General features: G+C 44.0%; 1 protein-coding gene and 1 pseudogene across 1 annotated transcript, besides 4 other annotated features; both read right to left on the minus strand.

The window, feature by feature from the left end:
• Window positions 3816-4117, minus strand: RN7SL713P (RNA, 7SL, cytoplasmic 713, pseudogene; annotated as a pseudogene).
• Window positions 11915-12114: an enhancer, noted in NCBI's record as "active region_1084". NCBI's record gives its function as "activates an Ori minimal core promoter by ATAC-STARR-seq in GM12878 lymphoblastoid cells {active_cell/tissue: GM12878}" and the evidence as "EXISTENCE:reporter gene assay evidence [ECO:0000049][PMID:35858748]".
• Window positions 12265-12354: an enhancer, noted in NCBI's record as "active region_1085". NCBI's record gives its function as "activates an Ori minimal core promoter by ATAC-STARR-seq in GM12878 lymphoblastoid cells {active_cell/tissue: GM12878}" and the evidence as "EXISTENCE:reporter gene assay evidence [ECO:0000049][PMID:35858748]".
• On the minus strand, window positions 13618-15437 carry TACSTD2 (tumor associated calcium signal transducer 2). Its single transcript, NM_002353.3, has one exon. It carries the CDS (start codon window positions 15339-15341, stop codon window positions 14370-14372), a length of 972 nt encoding a protein of 323 aa, NP_002344.2. The 5' UTR covers window positions 15342-15437; the 3' UTR covers window positions 13618-14369.
• Window positions 14205-14900: an enhancer, noted in NCBI's record as "H3K27ac-H3K4me1 hESC enhancer chr1:59041692-59042387 (GRCh37/hg19 assembly coordinates)". NCBI's record gives its function as "activates a minimal SCP1, AML or CMV promoter by ChIP-STARR-seq in naive H9 embryonic stem cells {active_cell/tissue: H9 hESC(naive)}" and the evidence as "EXISTENCE:reporter gene assay evidence [ECO:0000049][PMID:30033119]".
• Window positions 14901-15595: an enhancer, noted in NCBI's record as "H3K27ac-H3K4me1 hESC enhancer chr1:59042388-59043082 (GRCh37/hg19 assembly coordinates)". NCBI's record gives its function as "activates a minimal SCP1, AML or CMV promoter by ChIP-STARR-seq in naive H9 embryonic stem cells {active_cell/tissue: H9 hESC(naive)}" and the evidence as "EXISTENCE:reporter gene assay evidence [ECO:0000049][PMID:30033119]".

Consider the following 20753-nt stretch of genomic DNA (forward strand, 5'->3'; position numbering starts at 1 on the left):
CCCTAAACTGATTCCTACTTCCACTCCAGCTTACGTCAGTTCTCCTTGCTGGATGTTCTCGTAACGCCCTGTATTTCCTCATAACACTCATCCCACACTATTGTAATTACTTGTTCCATTTATTCTCCCTGTTCCACCACCACTACCAAGCTGAACTGTTAAGATCTTCGAGGGCAGAAAAAAAATATTCTGTTCAGTGTTATATTCTCATTTCTATTGTGATGGAATGAAGTGGGTAGCCAGTGTCTGTTCATTCATAGATTTAAATCTTCATTTGATTTTGAAAATTATGGTAAAATACATTATGAGCAAGTGTAAGTGTTTTTGTATGGCTACTAGACAATTGTAGTAAGTTCTGATTAATTTTTAGCATAAAAGCTAGTAATTGCTTTTACTTAGGGAGTTCTAAATGAAACTGTAATAATTTTTTTTAAAACTCCCCAGGCTGATCAAAGGGAATAATTTGAAGAAGGTAATTATGCACATGGAGGATGAAGATTATTGCTTTAACAGTATTTAGCAGTCTGATTAAAGAAAGAGAGAACCCAGTCTGCCAGTTCTTTGAGCATTTTCTGAAGATCTGGATTGAAGTCTAAAAGTTTCCTAATTCATGTGTAAAAATCGCAAGCATTCCCAGACACCAAAATAGACAAATCATGAGTGAACTCCCATTCACAATTGCTACAAAGAGAATAAAATACCTAGGAATACAACTTACAAGGAATGTGAAGGACCTCTTCAATGAGGACTACAAACCACTGCTCAAGGAAATAGGAGAGAATGAAAACAAATAGAAAAACATTCCATGCTCATGGATAGGAAGAATCAATATTCTGTAAAATGGCCATACTGCCCAAAGTAATTTATAGATTCAATTCCATCTCCATCAAGCTACCACTGACTTTCTTCACAGAATTAGAAAAATCTACTTTAAATTTCATATGGAACCAAAAAAGAGCCCGCATAGCCAAGACAATCCTAAGCAAAAAGAACAAAGCTGGAGGCATCATACTACCCGACTTCAAACTATGCTATAAGGCTACAGTAACCAAAACAGCATTGTACTGGTACCAAAACAGATATATAGACCAATGGAACAGAGCAGAGTCCTCAGAAATAATGCCACACATCTGCAACCATCTGATCTTTGACAAACCTGACAAAAACAAGCAATGGGGAAAGGATTCCCTATTTAATAAATGGTGTTGGGAAAACTGGCTAGCCATATGTGGAAAACTGAAACTAGACCCCTTTCTTACACCTTATACAAAAATTAACTCAAGATGGATTAAAGACTTAAATGTAAGACCTAAAACCATAAAAACCCTAGAAGAAAACCTATGCAATACCATTCAGGACATAGGCATGGGCAAAGACTTCACTACTAAAACACCAAAAACAATGGCAACAAAAGCCAAAATTGACAAATGGGATCTAATTAAACTAAAGAGCTTCTGCACAGCAAAATAAACTATCATCAGAGTGAACAGGCAACCGACAGAATGGGAGAAAAATTTTGCAATCTATCCATCTGTCAAAGGGCTAATATACAGAATCTACAAGGAACTTAAACAAATTTAAAAGAAAAAAAACAAACAACCCCATCAAAAAGTGGGCGATATGAACAGACACTTCTCAAAAGAAGACAATTATGTGGCCAACAGACATATGGAAAAAAGCTCATCATCACTGGTCATTAGATAAATGCAAATTCAAACCACAATGAGATACCATCTCATGCCAGTTAGAATGGTGATCATTAAAAAGTAGGAAACAACAGATACTGGAGAGGATGTGGAGAAATAGGAACACTTTTACACTGTTGATGGGATTGTAAATTAGTTCAACCATTGTGGAACACAGTGTGGAGATTCCTCAAGGAGCTAGAACCAGAAATACCATTTGACCCAGCAATCCCATTACTGGGTATATACCTAAAGGATTATAAATCATTCTACTATGAAGACACATGCACATGTATGTTTATTGCAGCACTATTCACAATAGCAAAGACTTGAAACCAACCCAAATGCCCATCAGTGATAGACTGGATAAAGAGAATGTGGCACATATACACCATGGAATACTATGCAGCCATAAAAAAGGATGAGTTCATGTCCTTTGCAGGGACATGGATGAAGCTGGAAACCATCATTCTCAGCAGACTAACACAGGAACAGAAAACCAAACATTGCATGTTCTCACTCATAAGTGGGAGTTGAACAATGAGAACACATGGACACAGGGAGGGGAACATCACACACTGGGGCCTGTCGAGGGGTGGGGGAATAGGGGAGGGATAGCATTAGGAGAAATACCTAATGTAGATGACGGGTTGATGGATGCAGCAAACCACCATGGCACGTGTATACCTATGTAACAAACCTGCACGTTCTGCATGTGTATCCCAGAACTTAAAGTATATAAAATAAAATAAAATAAAAACCACACACACACACAAAGATTCCTTTTGTTTAATTTCCATATAAACAACACTACCCATATAGTACACTTGCTTAGCCAACTTAATCTGAAAATTTAGGGGAAAAACCAAGGAGGTGTTTATGTCACAGTTCCATATATATCATTCATTCATTTATTCATTCAGCAGACATAATCTTTAAAATAAATGGAATATTAGAATTCCTTTTTCTTAGTCAAGTCACAAACTAGGGGTCTGATTGATACAGGAGTTAAGAAGAAATTACTTAGTCAGATAGCAAGGGCATGGGAGTCCTCGGTGAGGCTTTTCTTTTTAATGAAAAGCAGCCCCAAACCGTTTTCTAACAAAGAGCAAGCTGGGAACTTGCGTGGCTGAATGCTGCCAGGAACTAAGGACTAGACATATTCAAGATGGCAGCTCCATCTTCCCTTCTCTGCCAGCCACGTGTACTATAAAGGAGGAGACAAGATCATGCTGGTTAACTGGAAATCTCCTTTGCATAAGAAGATTAGGGTGGGGCGAACAGCCTTCCCCGTGCACTATGTAAACGTCATACCTGATCGAACCAATCTATGAGCCCTATGTAAATCAGACACTGCCTCCTCAAACTGGACTATAAAACTTGGGGGATTCCCCACCAACTGGTCCTTTCCTCTCGGAGACCCCTTCCTCCAAAGAGGAAGCTGTTTCTCTTTCTCTTCTTTTTTACCTATTAAACCTTTGCTCCTAAATGCCTCCTGTGTGTCCATGTCCTAAATTTTTCTGGCATGCAACAACGAACCCCAGGGGTATATATCCCAGATAATGTAGCCACTTCATGATCTTATTTGAATAGTATCCTCCCCTAATTCATGTTCACCTGGAACTTGTATATGTGATCCTATTGGAAATAGGGTCTTTGCAGACATAATCAAGTTAAGATCAGTTCATACTGGATTAGGATGGGCCCTCATTCAGCGAGTAGTGTCCTTATGAGAAGCCAAAAATTTGGACACAGAGATACACACAGAGGGAAGACAGCCATGTGAAGAAAGCAGAGATTGGAGTTATGCTGCCACAGTCCGAGGACTTCCCACAACCCCAGAAGCTAGAGGATGCAAGGAAGGATTCTTCCCTAGAGCCTTGATTTCAAACTTCTAGCTTCCAGGACTGGAAGAAATTAATTTATGTTATTTTAAGCCTCCGAGTTTGTAGTAGTTTTCTATGGAAGCCCCAGGGTACTAATTCATGGTCCAATCTTCTGCCAAGTGACCCTTCCTTTCCCCTCACCACCCAGCCTCCATCCAATTCCAAAACATTTTCTCCCATGTCTTCTTTGTTGTTTCCTTTTAAAAGAGTTGGAGTTGAGTTTTGCCATGTTGCCTAGACTGGAATGTAGTATCTATTCATGCCATGTTGCCTAGGCTGGAATGTAGTGTCTACTCAAACACGCGATCCCTCTACTGATCAGCATGAGAGTTTTGATTTGCACCATTTCTGACCTGGGCCAGTTCACCCCTCCTTAGGCAACCTAGTGGTTCCCCGATCCCAGGAGGTCCCCAGATTGATGTCGAACTTGGTGTGGTCATCCAATCAACATAGCACACAGCAGCCCAGAACTCCTGGGCTCAAGCGACCCTCCTGCCTCAGCCTCCCCAGGAACTGGGACTCCAGGCTCCAACCACCAAGCCCAAGTTTTTATGCAAAGCAGTTAAGGATCTTTAGCCCCTCACCCAAGCAAAGGCCTTCCCTTTGCATATAGGAAGGCTCAGACTCTGCCTCACCGAATGAGAGGCACCTAGAGAGAGCAGGTTTTCCTTTCCTCCACCCTAGCAGGGTTTTCAAAGGGTGAAGAGTGCAGTAAAATGGGAGTGTAGTAGAACAATTGATTTCTCCACTGATTAAAATTATACCATTCCCTTGAAGTTTAAAAAAAGAAAGACAAAAAATAAAAGAGAAAATGAAAGCAGTTACAATCAATTTGGATTTAAAACAACAAATTTTGCACTTAAAATGTTTGTTCCCATTTTTTAAAAATGGAGTCTTTTTATAATTTTGTTACTTTTCCCCCCATCACGTAACAGTATATTGTGAGTATTTTCCCATGTTAGAAAGTCCTCAAGGATTATACCGTAACGTATACAGATCCACAATCCCTTATCCACTGTCGGGGACAAGGGAAGCTCCTTTTCACTCTCTGAAGGTTCCCTGAAAAATCAGCTTACAAAGCCTGATTAATTGGACAAAAGGCATACAAATGTATTTAACATATATACAATGAGAGCCTTCAGAAAGAATTTGGGGCTTGGATCCTGGCAAAACAGCTATAAGAGGAGAAGTCAATGGGCTTGAAGAACATACAATGGTCTATTGGGCCCACAGAGTGAAAGATGATTTGTGACAAAAGTCTGTCCAGGTTTGTTGACAGACTTTGGTCTTCCTTCCTGTGATATGGGTTCAGTTAATGAAAACTTAAGGAAGGGACTGGAGGTAATTGTTTTCTTCTTTGGTAGGTCTGGACTTTAGGCAGATAAGGAAGCTTTGGAGAGCAACTTTATCCCATGCTTTGAGAGAGATGGAGGTGGGGGGCAGATCTGGAGAGAGAAGTCAGAAAGACCTTGAGGCTCCTTTTTCAGTTTAGCATGTACAAAGCACTGCATTTTGGGATATCGATTTCTGAGCCGCAACACCACAAATCCAAAAAGCTGAAAACCCAAGAGCTGTTTTAAAAGTTTGGCAGCAAAACTGACCTGAAGTGACCTAAGCCTGCTTATGGTCTATTTATACCACTTAGTGTGACTGTTAATGTTTCATGGCAGAAATCTAAATATATTGATTAGAGATGCTGTCACAGACCCTGCTGAAGGGATTAAAATCATGCACCAAATTATCCTTCTAAAATCCGAACATTTCTGAATTCTGAAACACACTAGATCTCAAGGTGTTGTGAACCTATATAATCATCCCCCTGTAGTTAGATATTTATTTTCACCTTTTTACTATTATAAAAAGTGCTGCATGCAACATGTTATACATGTGAATCTTGTTTGCATCACTATTCATGTCCTTAAGATAAATTCCTTGATATAGAAATAGAAAGTCAGAAAAACTAAACATGTTCTTGGTAGATATTGTCTACTTGTTTTCCAGAAAGGTTATACCAATTAACATACCCCTCACCAGCACTGAGAAACAACAGTTTTATTAATTTCACAAAGGAAAATTGTCATAGCATTGTGCTTTTAACTCATTTGGTTACCAGTGATGTTAGACATATTTTTAAAAAGAGGTTTATTAGTATTTCGAGTTCCTCTCCAGGAATTGTCTATTTATTACCTTTGTTCCTTTTCTACTGAAATTCATCTCATAAGCTTGCTTTGTGTATGTGCTGCACCAAGGCCAAGGGAGTGGGGGCCAAAATCAAGCCTGACTCTGATCACTAACTGTGTACCCTCCACTGAGGAGGGAGCACTTTTTCTTCTTTGAAAGGTGTCTCTCCACCTGGTGCACTTGCCAAGCCCTGCACTGTAAGGCTGAGTCCAACTAGATGGACTGTCTTTTTCTAATTTGTCTGCCCAGAGCAAACAGGATGCCCTTTCTAATTTGCACAAAAGTACCAAACTGAGATCTTAACTAGACGAATTGTGTTTCTAATTAATTTGAGTTTAAATTCTTTATATAAGCTGGGTGTGATGGTTCACACCTGTAAACCCAGCACTTTGGGAGGCTGAGGCAGGTGAATCACTTGAACAGAAGAGTTTGAGATCAGCCTGGGCAACATGGTGAAACCTGTCTCCACAAAAAAATACAAATACCCAGGCATGGTGGCGCATGCCTGTAGTCCCAGCTACTGGGGTGGCTGAGGCAGGATAATCGCTTGAACCCAGGAGGCAGAGGCTGCAGTAAGGTGATCATGCCACTGCACTCCAGCCTGGGGGCAGAGTGAGACCTGGTTTCAAAAAACACAAAAAATGTTCTTTATATAGTAAAGCTATCATATTAAAATTTCGAGTGTTATATTGTGCTGGCTGTGTTTTTCTTGCTTATTGCTTTGTATTTGTTTGACTCATAAGTTATCTAAACGTCTTCCATTTTGCTTTTTCTTAAGAAATATTTGTGGAGCTATAAGTAGCTTTGTTTTTCTTCCTTTTGCTTCTGAATATTATTTTAGGTGGTGAGACATGGGTAGAAATGTATGAAATCTAATCCTTGAACAGTTAATCCCAGCTGTCAAAGGGCCATACTTGGCCCTGTTTAAATTCCCAGACCAGAGATAGCCCTTCTGGAAGACATCTACACCCATCTCATCTATCCATCCATTCAACCAGCACTAATTATTGAACACCCAGTATGCTCCAGGCACTGTGCGAGACATTGGGAATACAGAGGTGAATAACAGAAACCGGAATTCCTTCCTTTATGGAGCTTGCAATGGACACCACGTGTTCAAGTTTCATATAACCATAACAATAGCTAACATTTAGGAGTGCTCACTGTGTGCAGGCATCAGTTTAAGTGCTTTACCTGCATTAATGTATTTACTTCTCTCAGCAACCCTATGAGGAGGTGGGTATACTATTGTTCCCATTTTACAAGTGAGGAAAATGCACAGGGAGGTTAAGTAACTTGATCCAAGATCACAGACCAGCAAATAGCTTGGTTACTTGTAAAGCTGTACCTAGCAAGTTTTCATCACTTCTGTTTCCCATGTCACATTCACAGATTTGTCACTTTGTGACAATGTGTCACAAATTTGTTTACTCCAACCCTCTCTTTCTTCCTCTTGGTATAGGGCTTTGCTTCCACCAATGCTTCCACGCCCTGCGAAGAAACTGCTCTGCCACCCGTGACCTCTGACTTGGCCTTTATCCCCTGGTAGCAGTCTGGGCTTGTCTTTTAGTCTCCACCCCTGGTTTTAACCATTCTTGGTTTCGTTTGCCAACGCTTTCTCATCTTTCTGGTCCTGGTGTGCTGGAGTCTTTTAAAGCATGTTGCTAGTTTTCTTCCCTTCTCAGTCTATCACCTTTTGCTAGACAATTGAATTTCTAACCCTGGCTTTTAAGTACTACCTATAAACCAGTGCCTCCCAAATTCCCATCTCCAGCCCATACAACACCAGACTGCTATAGTCAGCTTCTGGATGAAAGCCTGAACTCAACTATCCAAAACCATCCTCGTCATTTCCCTCACACCAAACATGTTCCCATCCCTGTGTTCCCTTTCTCAGAAAATAGTGCCACCAACCAGTTATGAAAGCCAAAAGCTACAACCATTCTTAACACTTCCCTTGTCCTCACAATCCCCATATAAAATCCATCCCCAAGTCCTGTTGATTTTATATCTGAAATATCCCTTCAGTACATCCACTCCTCCCCATCATTATCACTATTTTCTATTCCTGACCCTCATCCAAGCTGCTTTTTTTTTTTTTGAGATGGGGTTTCGCTCTTGTTGCCCAGGCTGGAGTGCAATGGCACGATCTCAGCTCACTGCAACCTCCTGCCTCCCAAGTTCAAGTGATTATCCTGCCTCAGCCTCCCAGGTAGCTGGGATTACAGGCATGTGCCACCACACCTGGCTAATTTTGTATTTTTAGTAGAGACGGGGTTTCTCCATGTTGGTCAGGCTGGTTTCGAACTCCCAACCTCAAGTAATCCACCTGCCCCAGCCTCCCAAAGTGCTGGGATTACAGGCGTGAGCCACTGCGCCTAGCATTCCCAAGCTACCTTTACCTTTCACCTGAAATACTCCTATTACTGGTCTTTTATGGTTTCCTTGCCTCTATTCTTGTTCCTTTTCAGTCTATTCTCCACACTCCAGCCAGAGTGATCTTTCCAGAACATGAATCTGCTTATGTCACCCCTGCTTTAAAACAAATAGTTTTTTCAAGGATTTCTCTATGCTGTTGACAGGGGAGGGGGTGAAGTTATGTCAATAGGAAAGTAGAGGACCCTTATTTCTTCACACAAAGGCACCTACCAGGCCATTTGCCAAATTTGGCACTGCAGGGTTAAGTCCAACTAGATAGGAAGCATTTTTCTACCTTGTCTGCACAAGGGGTGTGCCCTTTGTGTCATTTGCACAAAGGTCAGAATACTTAGTAGGCTTGAAAGGCCTTCCATAGTCTGTTCCCAGCCCACTTCCTCAGTCACAGGCAGCACCAGTCTTCTTGCTACCCACAATCCACCCATTCTTGTCTACTCTCAGGTCCTCAGATAATCCACACTTCCTGCTGCTTCAGGACCTTTGCACATGCTGTTCTTCCTTACTGAAATGCTTCTCTTCATGCATAAATAACATCTGCTCATGCCTTACATCTCAAATCAAGCATCAATTCCTTAAGGGTCCGACTTCCCCCAAGACTAGGTCAGAACATTCATATTTGCTTTTTTTTCTTTAGAGCACGTATCTCATTTTTAAATTGCACCTTAGTTACATGATTGTGTTGTTAATGACTCTCTATGCTGTAGTCTTTATGTTCATTAAAGGCAGAGACTCTACCAGTCAGGATTCTTGGCTGTAAGCAACAGAAAAGGATTCTGGCTAAACTTAAGCATAAAAGGAATTTATTGGAGGATTTGGATTAAGTTCACAGAATCAGTGGGAAGGCTGGTGAATCAGACCCAGAAAATGAACAGGACCTAAGGTTGCCTAGGCAGCAGGGGATGTGGCCAATGTCAAGCTGTGGGGCAATCCGATTGGGATATTCTACCAACGCTGCTGCCACTGGACACTGGCACCCATGGAACAGCTGTGCTCTTGACAAAGCCAGTACTGTTCTGAGAAAATTTCTCAATTGTCCTGATCTATGGCTTCATATCCTCTAGGTCTCTGCCCAGGCAGGAGAGTTCAATTGGCTGAGCCATGTCACATGCCCATATCCCACCTGCCAGGGAACAGGACCATCAGGCCTCCCATCAAGGTTCACACAATGTGGGTGTTTCCCCCATTGAAAACATTGTGGGGATGCCAAGTAAGAAAAAAAAGAGCAGCAGAGAAACCGTATCTGTTCAATTCATATGTTCCCCAAACTAGTATGATATCTGGCATCAAATAAGACAAAAAATATTTGAGGGAACAAATAAATGACCAACGCTAGGCATCTCTGAGGACACAGACTGTCCAACTTGTGCCTGCTTCAGGGTAACTGCTCACAATCACTGGGGCCTTTGCACTCCAGCTAGAGCCAACACTGGTCAAACTGGCTGCTTAGTCGAGATCACCCCAGTCCCACTGAGGTCAGATGAGGAGCCAGGAGCTCTATGAGCTAGAGTGAGTGGATATTACTAGACCCATTTTATAATGCAAATGTGAGGTTCAGGGAGGTGAACTGCCATATTCAAGATAATACAGCTGGAAAGCAAGAACAAGGACTTGAAGACTCATCTGCTGGCATAGTTTAGTACCTTTTCCCACCTTCTGTATTATGTTGCTTCAATTGCATATGACAATGTGCTTCACATAAAAATATTTGGGTGGCCAGGACATTTCCTCCAACAGTATCAGATAACAAGGGAGTGGAGAGTGCTGAGGCCACCTAAGAGATCAGCTACATCCAGCATGGGAGAAAGCTGGGCACAAGGATTCCAAGGAGTTAATGCTTATCTAGTCAAGATCCCTTTCCTTGCAAGGAGACAAGATGCCTTGGTAAGCTGAGCTGCCTGCTGATAAACTGCTGGTTAACATGTTCAGGCTATCACTGTGGATCATTTATCTTTCCCTTCTTACCCAGATCAATTTGGCCTCCTTGTACATCATGAACCTAAGAATTTCCACTGAAATTGATGACATATGGCTTGCTGCAGTGCCAGGGGACACAACCCCCCTGTTTACAGTATAATTCCCTAATAGTGAATGGGCCCAGCCCCCCATCCATCCCCATCCCTCCCAACAATTCCTTCTTTGAGCTCACTATAAAAGGCTATAATGAAACCTCTAATGATATTTAGCAATGACAGGGAATGGTTCCAGGAGGGAAATTACAGCTGGAAGATGTCCACCACGACCTGCTAGTAATTGTAAAGGAAATCTACTCAGGTCTCAAAGGGTCCTTTGTTTTATATAAACAGGAGGCTTCCAAGGTTGTTCTAGCCTCCTCTAATAGCAGAAGTCTATGGAGAGATATCTCCTTCAGAAAGTGGAGTGGAAGTTCTGTTCACATTACATTAGAAAGAACTCACTCATTACTAGTATTTTTCCCCCAAGAACTTGGGGGACCTTCCTCTAGTTCTAACAAGAGTGACTATTTACTAAATACATCATCAGGAGACTAACCAGGGAGGCAAGTGGAACACCAGACAGGATAGAGTCAGGGTGTTAGAGCTCTAGGGTGGCTCTGCCCCTCTCTGTCTGACTTGGGTAAATCCATTCTCCTCTATGAGCTTCAGTGTCTTCATCTATAGAATCAGAATGTTGAACTAAATGACTCTCTAAGCTTTTTCCAGCTCTGACATAACATTCTGTGATTCCACTTGGAAAATGGTAAGCAAAAAATTTGTAAGCAGAGGGAGGAATGGGTGATCTTTAAAAAAATGCTTCAATAAAAGAAACAGAATGGATAAAGCCCTGGTGACCTACACAAGGAAATCAGTCAAGTGTCCTCAGGAGGCTCAGAAGGCAGGCTGCAACTTGCTGGGCAAGCCACACCTGCTCCTCACATTCCTTCCAAGGGCAGCCCCAGGTCTGAGCTCTCGGCAGTGAACCAGTGAACTGTAAGGTATTTTTTTGTTTGTTTGTTTGTTTGTTTTTGGTGGGGAGGTGGGTGGAATCTTGGAGGCAGCTGCTCAATCCCTGAAGATAGCTGGTTCTTAAGACCCGACCCCAGCAGAGGAAAGCTGATTTTCAGAACAGAAGCATGAGGGGGCTCTTCCTTGGAAGAAGTGAGTAAAAAAAGGCATCTTAACCTGCTGGCTACCCAGCAGGAACAGGAGGAAATAAGTATAATGGAGACATGTGGCTAGTTTTTACAGCTAATAGGTAAAACACATCTTTAAAGCACATTAACAGTAAAAATCTTAGCTACACAAGGCAAAAGTCCCAAGCCCCATATTTGGTATATGCAGGGTGTGTGTTCATGAATTTACTCAATGTCTTTCAAATCTCAGTTTGCTGACATGTGACATGGATGTAATCTAAACAATTTAAAGTACATGAAACTTTCACTAAGCACCAGATTGTTTCAGACGCTCATATCAATTACTTCATTTAATATTCATAATAGCGAGAGAGGGATTTATAGTTTCATTTAACTAATGAGGAAACAGGGGAGGTAAGTGACTTCCTGACCCAAAGGAATAAGATTTGACCTCAGGTTTGTCAACATTTGGGTTACTTCCAGTAAGTCAATGGCTCAAAGAAGATTATATGTGTGAAAACGCTTTGCAAATTATAAATGCTATAAAGTGCAAGAAGTCACAGTCCTGAATTAATGCAGAAACCTAAATATCATCCAGAAGCAACATTCTGATGGAGTAAGGGGCTTTTTCAGGGAGTCTGCTTTGTTCAGTTGCCCACTGGATCCTTTATTTTCCAGGCAGACAAGTGAGTTTTTAAAAGTGACTCTTGAAACAATGAGGCTTTCTGGTTCCAGCTGTGCTACAGAAACATTAATCTTGAGAATTCACTTGCTCTTTTCATGTGTGAAATGCGGGGTTAGGTCACAGGTGATCACCAAGGTCACTTCCGTCAAAGCACTTCAGTGACTCAGAAGTGGAAAGCACCCAGTGAGACCTAGAGTGGGGAGTCTCACTCTCATTGTTAGAGAGCCAGTTCTAACTTCAGGTACTTGGGCCACCCTTCCTACTGTAGGAGAGCCTGCTCACATCCACCCTCTCCCCTTGGTAAGTCTTATTTGACCCTGGAAGGAAGTTTGGAGCCTGGAGGAGTTTCTCCCTTGATGAGTGGCAGCAGACTTTGAGATCTCTGGCAATCCCACAGTATCCACTCCACCAGCGCATAGCAGCCACAGCCCTAAGTTGAGAAGCCAGTAGCTGAGAGCTATCTCTCCCCAATTCTTACTGGTGTTTCAGTCTTGGGAGGTCCTCATAGACTGTAGAAACAGGATGGGAGGAGGGGCATGAAATGGATTCCAGGGGAAGAAACTGCAGTCCTGGATCTAGCTTAGCTGTTGCTGAATATGTGATATACCAACCACTCCCTTCCTTTGTACACACCTAGTGTTGTATCAGTTTCTCAGTTACTGTAGTAACTTGTTTACTTGTGGGGTACCCCACAGTCACACACATAAATGAACGTGAATGACTGAAAAGTAAGAGATAAGTGTAAGAGGGACAAGTGGCTAGTTTTTACAGCTAATAGGTAAAACATATCTTTAAAGCACATTAATAGTAAAAATCCCTGGGTGCAGTGGCTCACACCTATGATACCAGCACTTTGGGAGGCCGACGCAGGTGGATCACCTGAGGGCAGGAGTTCAAGACCAGCCTGGCCAACATGGTGAAACTCCATCTCTACTAAAAATGCAAAAATTAGTTGGGCATAGTGGTGGGCACCTGTAATCCCAGTTACTCAGGAGGCTGAGGTAGGAGAATCGCTTGAACCCAGGAGGTGGAGGTTGCAGTGAGCTGAGCTCACTCCACTGCCCTGCAGCCTGGACAACAGAGCAAGACTCCATCTCAAAAAATATATGTAATAAGTAAAAGTCTTAGGAAAACAGCCTGTGCACACCCAGCAAAAGTGTAGGGCCCACTGCAGACTGGCTCTAATTATGTGGGAAAGTCGTTTAATCTTAGAGCCACAACGCTTTGAGATTAAGTGATTTGCTCAAAGGCTAAATGGAAATAGTACCACTTATTTCAAAGTAGGGCTGGGATTCAAAGGAGGTACAGCTCTTGAACTAGAGTTTTCTGTCTCCATTGGTGATAAGCCTTGTTTAGAGATGACCAAAGACTGGCACTCTTTTTCATAAAAGCAGCTAGTTTTAGCTTCCTCCCTCAAGCTCACCCTCCTGCAGTTTGAAGGAAGTTTCCAAATAATCTTATTTAGAAAGAATAGCATTTACACTGGCCAGTTAGGATATCTTAGGACACACCAGAGTAGCAACATGAAACACCCACTTCTGGGGGAAAAAAAAGTGTTATAATTTGAAATAAAAAAAAAATACAAGTCTTGGGAAATTAGAGACCAATGTGATAGAAATCTGGAGGGACTTTTCACAAATGCCGACTTCTGGTTTGTGCCTTTCCCATATTTTATTAAATTCGTGTTTTATTTTAAAAAATTACAGCAACATTATCAAAGACAACATATGTACAAACATTTTACAAAAAAGAACATTACCAATATCAGTGGCAGTAAGGGCAAGCTGAAGAATAAATAGACTGAGTTTCCGGGCAATGTCTGTCCTCAAAGACATCCAAACTGCGTTCAGGCAGCTGAAACAGGCTTCTTTCCCAGTGACAAGCATATGTGGTCAGTAATACAAACGATGGTAAATGAGGCTACTACATAGGCCCAGTTAACAAACTCCTCTTCTCCTCGGGTAGGCCATGATACAAGTGGAACTCATCAAATAATTTAAACCCAAGGCGATAACAACGCTATTTCCCATCTAAACTCATTTAAGCCTTCACAATGTCGCAATGGATTCAGTTACTTGCAAACGATCCCGGGTTGTCATACAGATACTTGTTTTTTACACATAACGCTATGCCATCCCTTCCTTCACTGCCCCAGTCAGGTTTCCTGTTGTTGGACCGAAAGGGGATACATTTTAGAAATGCTTCCTTCAAGACAGAAGTGAGAAAGAAAGGAGACCCTGAGGCCAGGATCTATTAAACCTGGTGTGTGCGCAAAAGGGAGGGGGAAGGCAGGAATTTGAAAGGATAAACGTCTCCTTTGCGCCGAGGAATCAGGAAGCGTGACTCACTTGGGTCTGGGACGATACCGAAATCCGGTACCCCACCCCATCCCCTGCCCCGCCGGGTACCTACAAGCTCGGTTCCTTTCTCAACTCCCCCAGTTCCTTGATCTCCACCTTCTTGTACTTCCCCGACTTTCTCCGGTTGGTGATCACCAGGACGGCCATGCCGGCGACGAGGGCCACCACGACCACCACGATGACGGCGATGAGGCCGGCGGTGAGGCGCTTCATGGAGAACTTCGGGGGAATCTCGTCCAGGTAATAGATGAGCGTGCGCTCCACCTGCAGGGGTTCTCCGCGCACGCGCAAGTCCAGGCCGCCGCGGCCCTGGAATAGAGACTCGCCCTTGATGTCCCTCTCGAAGTAGTAGGCGGCATCGCCGATATCCACGTCACCGGCGGCCTTCTGAGACGTGTTCTGCCGCAGCTCGATCTGGATGGTGGGCTGCTCGTAGTGCACGGCCGCCACGAACTTGGGGTGCAGCCGATAGCGCTCGCGGAAGAGCCGCCTCAGCTCGGCGTCCAGGTCTGAGTGGTTGAAGGCGCCGGCGGTGGGGCGGTGGCGCAGGTCAATGAGGATGTGGTGGGTGCGCACCAGCTCATCGCAGCGTAGGCTCAGGTCGCCCTTGTCCGTGCGGCGCACGCCCACCGAGTTCACGCACCAGCACACCGACGTCTGGTTGCACTGGCGCGCCTTGAAGCGGCCCTCGGGGTCGCAGTCGGGGTCGTAGAGGCCATCGTTGTCCACGAGCGCGTGCTCACTCGGCCGCACCAGCGTGCGGGCGTTCTTGGGGGCGCTCATGCGCGCCTTGAGCAGCAGACACTTGGAGGTCAGCGTGGAGCAGTCGACCGCCATGCCCGAGCCCAGCGCGCGGCACTGGCAGCGGCCGCCGGGGCCGTCGGGGCTGCACACGGTCATCTTGTTGGTGGGACACGTGCAGTTGTCCTGCGCGGCCGTGTGGCCGGTCACCGCCGCCAGCACCAGCAGCAGCAGCGGCAGCCGCAGCGGTGGCGGCGCGAGGCCGGGGCCCCGAGCCATGGTGGGGCGGAGGAACGCGGACCGGACGCGGGCGGATGAGGCGCGGGGACTCGTCGGGGCTCGGGCTCCGGCGTCTGGGATGGTCTGCAGGCGTCTGCCGCCCGGCCGCTCCCTCCGGCTCTTATACTCTACCCGACCTGCCCGGCTGGTTCCACCACCGACCGTCCCCACTGGTATTTGGGTGACACATCCCGCCCCCCTCCCCGTCCCACGGAAGGCCAAGCCGGCCCTGCGCCGCCCGCGATAGGATCAGAACAGGGAAGCTGCTCCCGCCTCCTCCGGACCGAAAGCCGGGAAGGGGAGAACCGATACTCACCTGTAGGCTTCTGGGGACCCGCCCTCGGCGCGGCCTCCTGCTACAGACCTGGCGCGTCTGGGCCGCTCTCCCGGCAGAAAGTCTAAAGAGTTTCATTGCAAAGTGTGGCTCGCGACTGTCGCGCTCTCCTCTATACGCGACTCCCTTTTCGTTCTTTCCCAGCCCCAGCCCTCCCTTAATTTCTCTCACTCCCTCTCTTCTTTGTCCAGTTCTCACAGTAGCACACGTTTATATAGTTTACAGTTCACAAACATTATCTCATCCTAACACCAGTCCTGACAGGTAGGGACTATCAGACCCGTTTTATAGGTGGTACTGATGAGGCTTAAAGACCTGAAGTCACACTGCTATCAACTTCCTCATATTTCTGAGAGGGGTCTTTGGCACCCTGCCTAGGAGTGATGAGACCTTAAATAAAGTGTTTGTGGACACGAAGTGACACAGAATCTGAAGGGAAGTTAGGGAAGCAGTTCTGTTACTCACCATATCAAGGGTAAAACACAGGTATCCTGGTGTCCAGAGGGTTAAAAGTTCTGTTAAACACTAATTTTCTGTACCTCACACAAGCGCACACACACAGGCACACACGCACATAATATTTATTTGTGCACTGGCTATAAAGAGACAAACAGGAACAAATTCTTAAAGAGCCAGCAAGACTGTAAAGAGTTTTTTGTACAATTTGATTCTAACACAGCAAATCGTTGCTTTTCTTTTCCTGTATCCCACGTAAGTAGCTGAACCATGTAAATAATGAAAGAATGGAGCCTGTGAGAAATTGCTTGTCTGCCACTGTGTGGCTAGTTTCATGGCATACAGGGGTTGCAATCTCTTTTTGAGTCATTGAGAAAGTCTAGAGTTTCAAAGCTGTGGTAAAATTAACAATAATTAGCAAGCTATAATTATTCCCAGGTCCTCCATCAAAGCACATTTTATATGTTCAGCATTTAATGTGCACCACCAGTCGTGCAAGGGTGTTGTTTAGCAGATGAAAGCCAGCTGGGCCTCTGTCCCATTAATTTTCACGCAATTCCTGAGGCAGGAAGATTGAAATATATTCTGCCTTGACAGACAGAGGAAGCAGAGACATGTGAGGGACAATTTCTTTTTTCTTTTTTTTTTTTGAGACGGAGTTTTGCCCTTGTTGCCCAGGCTGGAGTGCAATGGCGTGATCTCGGCTCACCACAACCTCCGCCGCCCAGGTTCAAGCAAGTCTCCCGCGTCAGCCTCCCGAGTAGCTGGGATTACAGGCATGAGCCATCAAGCCTGGCTAATTTTTTTTTGTATTTTTAGTAGAGACAGGGTTTCTCCATGTTGGTCAGGCTGGTCTCAAACTCCTGACCTCAGGTGATCCGCCCACCTCAGCCTCCCAAAGTGCTGGGATTACAGGCATGAGCCACCACGCCCGGCGAATTTTTTTTTTTTTTTTTTTTTTTTTTTTTTTTTTTGAGACGGAGTCTCGCTCTGTCACCCAGGCTGGAGTGCAGTGGCATGATCTCAACTCACTGCAAGCTCCACCTCCTGGGTTCATGCCATTCTCCTGCTTCAGCCTCCTGAGTAGCTGGGACTACAAGCGCCTGCCACCACGCCCGGCTAATTTTTTTGGTATTTTTAGTAGAGACGGGGTTTCACCGTGTTAGCCAGGGTGGTCTCGATCTCCTGACCTCGTGATCCGCGTGAGGGACAATTTCTTATCCACAAACATGAGGAATTGTGGGATAGTCCTCTGCTGTCTATCCCCACTGTCTCTGTTCAGGTCTTCCTTGGACAGATATCTGAGTCAGGTTCTAGTTTCTTTTCCCCTCTCCGACCTCGGTCCACCCTGCATCCAAGAAGACTTTCTAAATCAGAAGTCTGTGCCCACCTCCTCTCTGTTAAGTAGAGTGAGGGGGGTGCTCTCGGCTCTCCAGATAAAATTCATGCTTCTTATATTAGCCCTTAAGATCATTCCTATATGATGTTATAGGCAAGCTACGTCTCTGTGCCTTAGTTTTGTCATCTGTAAAATGGGGATAATAAAAGTACCTACCTTACAAGGTAGGTTTTATAGTTAATGCAGATAAACTGCTTTGAAGAGTATCTGTTCTAACAGTATCTACACATAGTAAGCAACGGATAGATGTTAGCTGCTGTCATTTGTCATCATCGTTGTCGTCGTCGTCGTCATCATCATCATCATCATCATCGTGCTCCTGCCAACCTCTCCGGCAGTCCATGTTTTCAAGTCTTTGCAAAGTCACCTACCTGGAGTCTCCCTTTCTTTATTTAGTGCATAATTCTGTTTTTCTACTCAGCTCTTGAGTCACCTCCAAGATGCCTTCCCTAATAAGGCCCTCCCTGTTACACTCAGGGATATGCCTCTCTATTCGTTCCTAATCTCAGACATACTAGGATGGCAACATTAACTTTTCTGGGCTTTTGTCCTCCCATCTGTCAAATGGGCAAAATACAGCCTGTTTCGTAGATTATGCTGAGACTCAAATACAAAGAGATGAGATGGTAGATGCCAAAGCTTTGTAAACTCTAAGACTCTGTAAAAATATTAGATTTCACTTTTATTTCTAAAATATATATACCCTCTTCTTGCTTTTCCAGGTATTAACTAGGTAGCCACAATGTTCTATAACTAGCAGAGTTCTCTATTTTCCATTCCATCAGGTCCCAGGCTGGCAAGAGGAAAGCTGATGAGAGAGGGTTCTCAGGGCTGAGGAATTTGTGTGATGGTGTCATTGACTACCAAGCTAGAACAGCCCCACATGGGTGGTACTGGGGCTAGTGCTCTGAGGCATCCAAGCCTTTGCTTCTTCCAATTATGTTAGGTACTGAGAGGACAGGAATAGAAGGGGCCCAGCCTCAATATCTTCTGGGGAAGTTAGAGTAAGGCAAAGATGACCTCCTAATCCCCTCCCCCCACAGACTCCACTTGCTTAAATTCTCTGGTTCTGCCAGGCTTTCCCCAACACACACAAAGACCACAATGAGTTTATTATGTAAACACAGTCTCAGCTGTGATTCTCCCTTTTCCCTTCGTCCTTTTTCTGCCAAGTTCTGCAAAATAGCATGTATTAGCTTTATCTCTTTTTATTTATTTATTTATTTATTTTTGAGACAGAGTTTTGCTCTTGTCACCCAGGCTGGAGTGCAGTAGCATGACCTCGGCTCACTGAAACCTCCGCCTCCTGGGTTCAAGTGATTCTCCTGCCTCAGCCTCCCAAGTAGCTGGGATTACAGGTGCTCAACACCATGCTCAGCTAATTTTTGTATTTTTAGTATAGACGGGGTTTCACCATGTTGGCCAGGGTGGTCTCAAACTCCTGACCTCAGGTGATCCTCCCGCCTTGGCCTCCCAAACTGCTGGGATTACAGGCGTAATCCCACCACACCCAGCCTGTATTTTTTAATTTTAATTTAAAAAATATTTAACACAAGCATTTCAGGCTTGTCATGTGTTTATGAGGGGCGGGAAGCACATATAAGCACTGTATGTAGCCCCAGCACCAGAATATTAGGCACTAAGTAATGTTTATTGGATTAACACTGAGTTGTGCCCAGAATGTTTCAATATCAATATATTCTCCTAGGAGTGTTCATGTGGACCATTTCAGTACTTCTTTCCTTGTCTAAGCCTCACCACCTGCCCCAACCATGAATCTCTGTCCCTACCCTAACCCACCCTCCAAACACCCAATTTCAAGGAAGACTGGGTAACGATGCCCTTATTGTCATTTTTGTCCAATCCTTAACTTTTGTCAGCCTTGTGCCTGCAAGGATGAAGGATATGATCTGAGGACACCAAGAGCAGCCAAAGATTCTATAAGCAAGTGTATAATGTAGTTGAAAGAAAATGGACCTTGGATCCAGTGAGACTTAGGCTCAAGTTTTGGCTTCACACCACTCACTGCTGTGTGTTTCTCAGCAAGTTGTTTCAGCACTCTGCGCCTCAGCTTCCTTAACTGTAAAATGGGGGTAACAGGGCCTACACTGCATCAATGCCTGTGAAAACAATGATTTCCCACCTTGTAATTAATAATACATTTTTCCCCATTGAACTTCACACTTCAGCTGTTCTTGTGCTCTTTGATAAATTCTTGGTGATAATCTGATTCTCCTTGGTATAAGACCAATACCAGCATGTGAATTTTATATTAAAGGGTATGATATATAAAAACAAAACATAAAAATAAAACTGTTTGATTAATTAAAAATAAACAGCACTTACCATCGAGAATTATTTTAATGATTCCAGATAAAGACTATAAAATACTCAACATAATGTTTGGTATGTGCTAAGTAAAATATTTTAGCTATTATTATCAGCCATCTCAGGAATGTGAAGATGCTTTAAGATCATTAAAGGGTTCTTCACAAGGCCAGTGATTATGGGGACTGCTGAAGATCAAGTCCAGGGAGCTGAGTGCTAGGCAGGAGAGCAGCCCGAGAGCCCCAACCATCCCCTGACCTCCAGGATGCAGCAATATGGAGAGTATCTAGATGCAGATAGTGCTTTAGTATATTTGCCCCCATTATCTGCTGGGATCCCTGCAGCACCTCTGGGGGTTAGGCAGGGAAGATATTATTATCCCTATTTTATAGATGTGGAAACAGAGGCCTTGGGGGAAGGGAACAATTTGCCCATGGTCACATGCTTATAAAAGGTGAGGCCAGGCCTAGAAACCAGGTCTCCTGACTGCAAATGTATATAGAAATTAACAAAGATGGAATTAACAAGGGGTTGAAAGAGCTTAGAGACTCATCTCATGTTTCTCAGGTTTTCTGTTACTTTTCATCCCTTCCCTTAATTGTACAAATATTTTTAGGAATTTCTTGTTTCAAGAAGAATGATTAAATAATTTATTTTCTTTTTTTTCTATTTATTTATTTATTTTTTTTATTTTTTTATTTTTTTATTATTATACTTTAAGTTTTAGGGTACATGTGCACATTGTGCAGGTTAGTTACATACATATACATGTGCCATGCTGGTGTGCTGCACCCACTAACTCGTCATCTAGCATCAGGTATATCTCCCAATGCTATCCCTCCCCCCTCCCCCCACCCCACAACAGTCCCCAGAGTATGATGTTCCCCTTCCTGTG

Source organism: Homo sapiens, chromosome 1, assembly GCF_000001405.40.
Source record: "Homo sapiens chromosome 1, GRCh38.p14 Primary Assembly".
Classification (NCBI taxonomy): domain Eukaryota; kingdom Metazoa; phylum Chordata; class Mammalia; order Primates; family Hominidae; genus Homo; species Homo sapiens.